The sequence below is a fragment of the Homo sapiens genome, chromosome 7 (assembly GCF_000001405.40).
Source record: "Homo sapiens chromosome 7, GRCh38.p14 Primary Assembly".
Taxonomy (NCBI): Eukaryota; Metazoa; Chordata; class Mammalia; order Primates; family Hominidae; genus Homo; species Homo sapiens.
In genome coordinates, this window is record NC_000007.14 from 118,945,024 (window position 1) to 118,956,199 (window position 11,176).

Below are 11,176 nucleotides of genomic sequence, written 5' to 3' on the forward strand. Positions count from 1 at the left end.
ACTCCGTTTCAAAAAAATAAAATAAAATAAAAAAATGCAGGTGAATGTTAAAATTTGTTTCGTTTTGTTTTTTTCGTACTCTCTTACATTCTGGCATTACAAAATGCTCTAGCCTTCTCTTGTGTACTTCATGTCTCAGTCCTAGAATTAGTTGTTTCTTAAGGATCCCTGGTGTCTTTTACTGGAGAATGCTATTAGAAAGAAGGATCTATGTGCTAAGTGTGGTCCTTGCTATTGGGGTGACTTTGCTTCTAAGCCCTCTCAGGAGGTAGAGCAAGGAGATACATGCATGTATAATAACATGAAAATAAATCCGTATCTATAAATATTCATCTATGCATTCATTTGTATCTGTTTTAATCAAAACATGTTTATGCTGATATATCTAACCCTAATCTACATGGAGAATTCCAACCTCCTCTGCTTGCTTATCTGTAACAACTCACACAAATAATGAGAAACTGGGCTCCCACTGACATGGAAGGGAAGTGCTCGGAATGGAAGGGTGTAGTCCCTTTAAGTGATACAGAAGGGTGTAGTCCCTTTAAACGATATGGAAGGGAGAAGGGGAGTGCGGGGTTGAGGAGGGCATGGTCCCTGGCTAAGGCTCCACCCCCAGGCCCTTACCAGGGGACCTAGATGAGGACAGGCATTCTTGTTTTCCTGCCAATATGTTGCATTTCCCAAGACCACCCTGGCCTGCCATGCCCCCGTCCTGTGCCTATAAAACCCCTGAAACCCAGACAGACAGACATTCAGGTGGCTGGACGTCGAGGGGAGCACATCAGCAGGCACCGGCACACCAGCAGGCCACTGACCAGCAAAATGTCTCAGAGTTCGGGTGGGGCAGTCACAGGAGAGCCCGGGCTGCGGAGCTACCCAGCTCCAGGGGAAAACCATCTCCCTTCTGCCTCTCCCACCCACTGAGAGCTATTTCCCCTCAATAAAATATTGTACTCATTCTCCAAGTCCACGTGTGATCCAATTCTTCCAGTGCACCAAGGCAAGAACCCAGGGATACAGAAAGCCCTTTGTCCTTGCGACAAGGCAGGGGTCTAATTGAGCTGGCTAACGCAAGCTGCCTGTTGTCAGCTAAGCTAAAAGAGCACACTGTAACCACCCACTGGGGGCTTCAGCTGTAAACATTCACCCGTAGACACTGCGTTGGGGTCGGAACCCCACAGTCTGTCCATCTGTATCCTCCCCTAGAGGTTTGAGCAGCGGGACACTGAAGAAGCAAGCCACACCTGCATACCACGCCCTGTGAGGGGACAAGGGAACTTTTCCCGTTTCACCACTACCGGTCATCGACTTACTGTTTAATTCCAGTATATATGCATAACAATATCAGAGTTGTTCACTTATACCCCCATGGGAAACAACTTTATCAGGTACATACAGTGCTGACGCACAGCTCCTTTCCCTTTAGTCTTAAAGTCTTTACTTATTTCCAAAGTTACTTAGCTCAGCAGTTTTTTCTCTTATTTCCTTTAGTGAGATTGTCTCATACATTTATAATACAGTTAGGATACTTTCTCACAAACTCTATTCTATCTAGGATTCTGTGGCCTTGTAAATGACGTTTTAAAATTTGTATCCATTAGGCATGAATTTTTTTCAGTTTCATGTATTTACCATTGCAGTATTATTTAGAATAATTTTCTTGCCCTAAAAATTTCCCTGTGTTTCACCTAGTCATCTTTTCTCCCTCTTATGCACCCATGGCAATCATCTGTTTATAATGTTTTTAGTAGTGAATTGTCTAAAATGTCATATAATTGAAATTATACAGCATGTGCACTTTCAGAATGGCTTCTAAGATTCCTCCATGTCTTTGTGTGGCTTGGTAACATTTTTTAATGTTGAATAATTTTTCATAATATGGGTATATCTCAACTGATTTGTCTATTGACCTTTTTAACACCATCTCTGTTTGTTTCAGTTTTTGGCAATTATGAATAAAGCTGCTGTAAATATTCATGGGGAGCTTTTATGTGGATATAAGTTTTTAAATCAGTTGGGTAAATATCTAGGTTTAACTGTGTTAAAAATTATTTTAAAAATATTACCAAAAGGAATGAGAGGTTTTCAGGGGATATATGAAGCAGTATATTGCTAGGTCTTAAGATGTTTTTGAGAAAAAAAAAAAACACTCATATTATGGTTACTGTAGCATATAGAAATATTAGTGGAAGAAATAAATAAACTGGGACCATTTTATGTACTTGGCATGCTTTCAAAATTTAAAATATCATTTTATTTATTTGCTGTACAAAAATTGAACCTATAATGGTTTTTGAAGAATATAATAAATATTAAATAATTGATTAGAGCAAATGGGTATTTTCAGAATGCAGGCACAAGTGACATTTTATTTGAATTAAATAAATGAGTATATAATGTAATGCTAAAGTAAAATAGAAAAAAACATTTAAGATGCTTTGCATTTCAGGGAGGAAAGCTTGATATAGAGAAATTTTTTCGGGGTGTTGAATGCTTCTGCTCTTTATTAAAAGTGTTTATTACATGAAAAACTTCATTCTGATATCTATTGCTACTAATGAGTTTGTTTTAGAGGAGAACTTCATTTATAGAAGAAATGGAAAAATTACACTTATAAGCCAAGGATTGCATATTACTGCAAGAACAAATTATTGAAGCATACTAAAGTAAGTTTTCTTAAAAATGCAACACATTCTAGGCTCAGGAAACTTAAGATAGGCAAGTTATTAATATATTGAGTTTTATGAAAGTAGTGATTAACTTTTGGAGCATACCTATGGGAAATATGTTTGAATAGTTTCATACTGTATCAAAGAGACAGTATGTGTAAAAGCGATTTGACATGAGAAAATTTTTAGTCAGCTTGATTATAAGATTTTTGAAAATGTCTTTATCTTTAAACATCAGAAATTGTTAAAGCATAGCTTGTTGAAGTGTAACTACTATAAACATTAAGATGAAATTGTATACAGAATTTTTTCTGAAATTATAAATTTTAATACATAAAGTAAATTTTCTACATAAATATAATTTTTCCTAATTCAAAATATTTATAGACCTTTTACAATTGTAATTTAATTTAAGTCTATCTAAAGTGAATTATGTACCTCCATGTCTCTTTAAAAGTAGTATATAGAACATATATTGATGGTTTGGTTCTTCTATTAGAGACGTGAATTGCTAATCAGGGCTGTGAAACCAGGATGCCATGTCACCATCAACAATGGTGTCTACTTTATGGTCTTTAAGTGTTTATAATTTATTTCATATTCTTTTTTTCTGATAGCTTTTGCTGTTATCAGACGTTTTGCTGCTTATAATCTGCTGGTTCTTTTGATACCTGATTGGCAAGTGAATGTGCTTCAGCTTCTCACATTGATTTGAAGACCGTGTTCTAGATAATCTCAAAAATCTAGTTAATCTGAATAATCCAGTTAATCTGAAAAAGATATAACTCTGAAACACAAAGTAAGCTGTTGTAGGCACCCACTGAGAGACACATAGGTGGCATCTTACAAATCAGTGTTCAATCTTTCAGTCATAAAGGCTGGTGAAAATCTTGACCAGTATATCAATCATTGGTTAAACAGAAGCCTCAAGTTCAGTTCCCTTTTCTTTTCAAGAGAATTCATACTTCCAAATATTTGGGGAAATTAATATTTCTATACATTTTTTGCAATGTATGCAGTATTTCCATGACTCTACTTATGACCATGAGTTTGAAGGAGTGTTATTATGAAAGGGCAATCACAGTTCTTACAGTTGTCTATCAAGTGGTCATGAAAAATCATATTAAAGTAAATCTCAGGAGGTATATTCTAATTAGAGTTTACAGCAAGCTGCTTTAGGAGACTGCAGCATTTTCAGTGGTATTCAGTGTGTGTTCAGAAAATTTAGGGCAGAGTTAACTCAGAACAATTTTGTGCCAATATAACACTTTTGACACTTTCATTCACTTAAAAAAATTATTCTACAAGCATTTGCAGTACTATGATGTGCTATGTAAATAAAATGTAAATCAGCATTCCTGAAGACCGCTATATATTTCCTTTCAGTTCTTTGTTAGAAATATATAATGTAAAGAAAAAGTAGTAAATCCTTTAAGACTTGCTTTTCCTATTTAATAAAACTTGTGTCCTTTTAATTCTTATTTATGTATTTATTTATGAGTCAGGGCTTACTCATGTTGGAGTGCAGTGCTCAGTCACAGCTCACTGCAGTCTCAAACTCCCAGGCTCAAGTGACCCTCCTACCTCAGCTTTCCTGGTAGCTGAGACAACAGGCATGCACCTCCTGCACAGCTGATTTTTAAATTTTGTGTAGAGATGGGGGTCTCCCTTGTTGCCCAGGCTGGTTTGGAACTCCTGAGATCAAGTGATCCTCCTGCTTTAGCTTCCTGAAATGCTGGGATTATGGGCATGAGCTACTGTGCCTGATCACTTTGCTTCTTATTTTAAACTCTTTACCATTTTCCTGTTGTTAACAACCACACTCACTGAAAAATAAAACATTTAAATGTTAGTAATAATTATTTAAAATTCTCAAAATTTGTTTTTAAAGACAGGAACTTAAGATAGCTATGCAAAATATTCCAGAGTATTCCAGAGATACTCTACAAACTTTGTTAGGTAATTAGTTTGAACACAGATTTAATCATGAAGATGTATTGATGCTGTAAAAGGAAAACAAAGAAAAATTGCAATTTTTGATATTTTCCAGTTTAAAAAATTTCAGGTTATGTAGGTTTTTATACTCATAATTTCCTGAAATATATACAAGGTATGGGGATCATAAATCAAGAGAAAATAATTGGATGAAGATGAGACATAAACATGTGTTTGCACAGTAATTACTGAGCTTTTGCGTTTACTTGCAATTGAGCAGAATAAATTTGTTTTCAAATATAGAGATGACAGATTTTTTCTTATATCATATACTTTTATAACCAGTCCCATGTCCAAAATGAAAAGCACTATAAATTTCATCACTTTTTATTACCAAACTAATTTATTTCTTAGGGTTCAAAACTTTCTTAAGATGACTTCCTGGTCTGTATGTAGATCCAGCTTCTTTTTTTTTTTTTTTTTTTTTTTTTTTTGAGTCAGAGTCTTGCTCTATTGCCCAGGCTGGAGTGCAGTGGCGTCATCTCGGCTCACTGCAAGCTCTGCCTCTTGGGTTCATGCCATTCTCCTGCCTCAGCCTCCCAAGTAGCTGGGACTACAGGTGCCCACCACCTTGCCTGGCTAATTTTTTGTATTTTTAGTAGAGACGGGGTTTCACTGTGTTAGCCAGGATGGTCTTGATCTCCTGAACTCGTGATCCACCCACCTCGGTCTCCCGAGGAGATCCAGCTTCTTAATCCTCAAGCTCAAATTCCAAGTACTGTGGGCCTAAACAGTGAATATGGACATAACCATCTTCACCGCCGCTGCTGTAACTCTTGCCATTTGAAGGGAAGGCAACCCTGTTGACAGTTGTGAAGTAACTCTTGACTCTTCCAAACTATTTTTCAAAGGCCAAATGGAAGAACCTGGGCTCAAACCTGCCAGTCCTGTTGGAGGTTGTGGTTACATCCATGGCTTTCTCTCTGTCACCCAGTATCACATGGTCATTATAACTGGGGAAAGGGCGTCTGAGTTGATGAGATGTTCTGTCCAGAAAGTCTCTTGATGTTCAAGAGTTGTAGAATCAAAGAACTTGGCTGTGTTGTCCTTGGTTGCAGTGACAAACATGATTATGTCCTTGGATAACTTGATGTTACTGATCTTCTGGGAGTGCTATTTAACACTCACCAATACCTCTCCAGATGTGGCATTATACTGGTTGGACACTCCACTCTTATGGTCTGTGATGATGCACTCCCCTGGGGGGTCCTCAAAAAGCACTAGTGATATTATAGTCATTGTAAAGGATTTTCATGTATGTCTCATTGCTGTCAATCTGCCTTAGGTCCTGCAGATAAAAGAAGCTCACAAAGCACTGGTAGCCCATCTACTTGTCTGTAGAGAATATAGTGATATTGTTCCCAAAGTCCTTGCCACAGGTCTGGACAGCTAAATCAGTTTTGAGTAGGGCCAACTGCTTCCCTGTCCCAGAGACGACAGCTGTTGTCAGCTGAGCCAGGGAGGACATGCTTGGTGTCCCAGTCACTGTCCATGCAGCACACAGCTGCTGTATGGTCCACGTGGGTGCCCAGCCTCTCACCGTTCACAGAGTACCACACATTGACGATCATCCCACTGGGGACGATATATATTCTAGTTGTTCGTTTCTTATTTCTGGAAGGACTCCTTGATCCTTTTTATAGATCATAATACAGACAGGGTCCAAAAATATGGCAAATGTCATAAGTAAATGCACAGCACAAGATTCAATTTGGAGTAGTTGACTTTAAGATTTTGCCTAAGGAGAAACTGAGATGTGAACAAGCACACCCTTGACATTTTATAGAGTGTAACACCAAGTAAAGCAGGGATTATTCATAATTGTTAGAAAACTCTATTTCTGAAAGTAATAAGATGCAAAATAGAGTTTGATGTGTAGCTGGAAAGTAAAAAATAATTTCAAACTTAGCATAAAGTTTATTTCTATAATCAGAATTTAGGGTGGAAGTGGAAAAATTCATCAAGATTGATTGGGTAAAAGTAATATTTTCCTTATTTTAATTTAAACAATTTACAATAATTTTGTAGCCAAAATACAAGAATACCTTTAGGATTTAATTAAGTAGAACGTGAATTGATCTATAATGGTATGTTTTGTCTTCTACACATCTTTCAATAAACAATAATGTCTTTACATTACTGAAAGACATTAATGATAAAGAGCCTTTATCACTGAGCCTCCAAAGGCACAAGGCAACATTTGGCTACTTCAGCAGGGGCAGGGTAACTGAGAAAGCCTTACCCCAGGCACCATGAGACACAGGGCCTACCTAAGACTGAGGCACAACAAAGTTGACAGAGAAGTTTCTACCTTCTGCCCTGTACAGCAGAAGATACCCAGTAGTGGGATTGCTGGATCAAATGACAGTTCTACTTTTAGTTCTTTAAGGAATCTCCATACTGTTTTCTATACTGTTTGTACTAGTTTACATTCTCGCCAGCAGTGTAAAAGTGTTTCCTTTTCACCACATCTATGACATCAGCTATTTTTGATTTTTTAAATTATGGCCATTCTTGCCCTACTTGCAGGAGTAAGTAAGGTGGTGTCTCATTGTACTTTTAATTTGCATTTCCCTGACAGTTAGTGATGTTGAGCATTGTTTTCCTATGTTTGTTGGCCATTTGTATATCTTCTTTTGAGAATGTCTGTTCATGTCCTTTGCCCATTTTCTTTTCTGTCTTTTTTTTTTTTTTTGAGATGGAGTCTCACTCTGTCACCAGGCTAGAGTGCAATGGCGCAATCTTGGCTCACTGCAACCTCCCCCTCCTGTGTTCAAGCAATTCTCCTGCCTCAGCCTCCTGAGTAGCTGGGACTACAGGCATGTGCCACCACTACCAGCTAATTTTTGTATTCTTAGTAGAGACAGGGTTTCACCATGTTGGCCAGGATGATCTTGATCTCTTGACCTCGTGATCCACCTGCCTCGGCCTCCCAAAGTGCTGGGATTAAAGGCATGAGACACCACACCTGGCCCTTTGCCCATTTTTGATGGAATTATTTTTTTTCTGGGCAATGTGTTTGAATTCCTTATGGATTGTGGATATTAGTTCTTTGTCAGATGCACTGTTTGCAAGTATTTTCTTCCACACTATAGGTTGTCTCTTTACTCTGCTGATTGTTTCTTTGGCTGTGCAGAAGCTTTTTAGTTAAGTAGGTGCCATCTATTTATCTTTGTTTTTGTTGCATTTGCTTTTGGATTCTTGGTCATGAAGTCGTGAAGACTTGCCAATGTCTGGAAGAGCTTTTCTGTTGTTATCTTTTAGATATTTTTACGACTCCAGGTCTGAGATTTAAGTCTTTGATCCATCTTGGGGTTGGTTTTTGTATAATGTGAGAGATGAGGATCCAGTTTCATTCTTCTACATGTGGCTTGCCAATTATCCCAGCACCATTTGTTGAATAGGGCGTCCTTTCCCACTTTATGTTTTTGTTTGCTTTTTCAAAGATAAGTTGGCTGTAAAAATTTGGCTTTATTTCTGTGTTCTCTATTCTGTTCCATTGGTCTATGTGCCGATTTTTGTACCAATATCATGCTGTTTTGGTAACTGTAGCCTTGTAATATAGTTTGAAGTGGGTAATGTGATGCCAACAGATTTGTTATTTTTGCTTAGTCTTGCTTTGGCTATGCAGACTCTTTTTTTTTTTTTTTTGGTTGCACATGAATTTTAGGATTGTTTTTTCTAGTTCTGTGAAGAATGATGATAGTGTTTTTGTGGGAATTGAATTTAATTTGTAGATTGCTTTTGGCAGTATGGTCATTTTCACAATATTGATTCTATCCATTCATGAGCATGGGATTGTTTCCATTTGTTTCTTTGTGTCATCTATGATTCCTTTCAGCAATCTTTTGCAGTTTTCCTTTTAGAGGTCTTTCACCTCCGTGTTTAGGTATATTCCTAAGTATTTTATTTTATTTTTTGCAGCTGTTGTAAAAGGGCTTGAGTTCTTGAATTGATTCTCAGATTTGTCATTGTTGGTGTATAGCAGTGCTACTAGTTTGTTTACATTGATTCCATATCCTGAAACGTTACTGAATTCATTTTTCAGATCCAGGAGCTTTTTGGATGAGTCTTTAGGGCTTCCTAGGTTTACAATCATATCATCAGTGAACAGCAACAGTTTGACTTCCTCTTTACCATTTGGATGCCCTTTATTTCTGTCTGTTGTCTGATTGCTCTGACTAGCACTTCCAGTACTATGTAGAATAGAAGGGGCGAAAGTACACATCCTTGTCTTGTTCCAGTTCTCAGGGGGAATGCTTTCAACTTTTCCTGGTTAAGTATAATGTTGGCTGTGGGTTTGTAATAGATAATTTTATTACTTTCTATGCCCTTTCTATGCTGATTTTGCTGAGAGTTTTAATCATAAAGGGATGCTGGATTGTCAAATGCTTTTTCTGCATCTATTGAGGTAATCACATGATTTTTGTTTTTACTTCTATAATGTGATGCATCACATTATAGACTTGCATATGTTAAACCATCCCTGCATCACTGATTTAAGCCCAAATTGATTATGGTGTATTATCTTTTTGATAGGCTGTTGAATTCTGTTACCTAGTATTTTGCTGAGGATTTTTCCATTTATGTTCAGGGATATTGGTCTATAGTTTTCTTTTTTTGTTATGTTATTTCCTGGCCTTGGTATTAAGGTGATACTAGCATCATGGAATGATTTATGGAGGATTTCCTCTTTCTCTATCTTCTGAAATAGTTTCAATAAGATTGGTAAAAATTATTCTTTGAATGCCTGATATAATTCAGCTATGAATCCATCTGGTCCTGGACTTCTTTTTTTGGCAATTTTTTATTACAGTTTCAATCTCACTACTTGTTATTAATCTGTTCTGAGTTTTTATTTCTTCGTGATTTAATATAGAAGGGTTGTGTATTTCCAGGAATTTATCCATCTCTTCCAAATTTTCTAGTTTGTGTGTGATTTAATATAGAAGGGTTGTGTATTTCCAGGAATTTATCCATCTCTTCCAAATTTTCTAGTTTGTGTGTGAAAACGTGTTCACAGTAGCCTTGAACTATCTTGTATTTCTGTGGTATCAGTTTTAATATCTCCTGTTTTGTTTCGAATTAAGCTTATTTGCATGTTCTCTTTTCTTGGTTAATCTTGCTAATAGTCTATCAATTTTGCTTCTCTTTTCAAAAATACAGCTTTTTGTTTTATTTACTTTTTGTATATTTTTGTTTAAATTTTATTTAACTCTGATCTGACCTTGGTTATTTATTTTCTTCTGCTGGATTTAGGTTAAGTTTGTTCTTGTTTCTGTAGTTCCATAAGGTGTGATCTTAGAATTTCTATGTGTGCTCTTTCAGACTTTTTAATGTAGGCATTTAATACTATGAGCTTTCCTCTTACACTGCTTTTGCTATGTTTCAGAGGTTTTCATAAGTTGTGTTACTATTATTGTTTAATTCAAAGAATGTTTTAATTTCCATCTTGATTTTATTGTTGACCCAAAAATTATTCAAGAGCAGAACATTTAATTTCCATGTATTTGCATAGTTTTGAGGGTTCCTTTTGGAACTATTTTTTTTTAATTTTATTTCACTGTGGTTTGAGAAGGTACTTGATATAATATTGACTTTCTTAAATTTATTGAGACTTGTTTTGTGGCTTATCATATGGTCTATCTTTTAGAATATTCCATCTGCTGATGAAAATAATGTATATTCTGCAGTTGTTGGGTAGAATGTTCCATAAATATCTGTTAAATTTATTTGTTCTAGGGTATAGTTCAAGTCCATTGTTTCTTTGTTGACTTTCTGTCTTGATGACCTCTCTAGTGTTGTCAGTGGAGTATTGAAATCCCTCATTATTATTTTGTTGCCATCTATCTCTTCTCATGTCTCATAATAATTGTTTTATAAATATGGGAGTTTTCATGTTAGGTTCAAGTATATTTATTATTGAGATATTTTCCTGTTGGTCTTTTTTTTTTATTATTATGTAATGTCACTCTTTGTCTTTCTTAACGGTGTTTGCTTTAAAGTCTATTTTGCTAATATAAGAATACCTAGCTACTCCTGCCAGGTGGGGTGGCTCATACCTCTAATCCCAGCACTTTGGGAGGCCGAGGCAGGCACAGTAAGAGATCAGGAAATCGAGACCATCCTGGCCAATATGGTGAAACCCAGTCTCTACTAAAAATACAAAAATTAGCCAGGTGTGGTGACATGTGCCTATAACCCCAGCTGCTTGGGCAGCTGAGGCAGAAGAATCTCTTAAACCCGGGAGGTGGAGGTTGCAGTGAGTGGAGATTGCACCACTGCACTCCAGTCTGGGAGACAGAGTGCAACTCTGTCTCAAAAAAAAAAAAAAAAAAAAAAAAAAAAAAGAATAGCTAGCTACTCCTGCTTGCTTTTGGTGTCTATTTGCATGGAATATCTTTTTGTATCCTTTTACCTTATGTATTAAGTGAGTCTCTTGAAGACAACAGATTCTTGGTTGGTGGATTTTTTTCATTCTACCATTCTGTATTTTTTAAGTGGAACAT

The 11,176-nt window shown here is 36.5% G+C and overlaps 1 pseudogene, besides 2 other annotated features; it reads right to left on the reverse strand.

Moving 5' to 3' along the window:
• Positions 291–791: an enhancer, noted in NCBI's record as "H3K4me1 hESC enhancer chr7:118585368-118585868 (GRCh37/hg19 assembly coordinates)". NCBI's record gives its function as "activates a minimal SCP1, AML or CMV promoter by ChIP-STARR-seq in naive H9 embryonic stem cells {active_cell/tissue: H9 hESC(naive)}" and the evidence as "EXISTENCE:reporter gene assay evidence [ECO:0000049][PMID:30033119]".
• Positions 792–1,292: an enhancer, noted in NCBI's record as "H3K4me1 hESC enhancer chr7:118585869-118586369 (GRCh37/hg19 assembly coordinates)". NCBI's record gives its function as "activates a minimal SCP1, AML or CMV promoter by ChIP-STARR-seq in naive H9 embryonic stem cells {active_cell/tissue: H9 hESC(naive)}" and the evidence as "EXISTENCE:reporter gene assay evidence [ECO:0000049][PMID:30033119]".
• EIF3IP2 (EIF3I pseudogene 2) lies at positions 5,326–6,235 on the reverse strand (annotated as a pseudogene).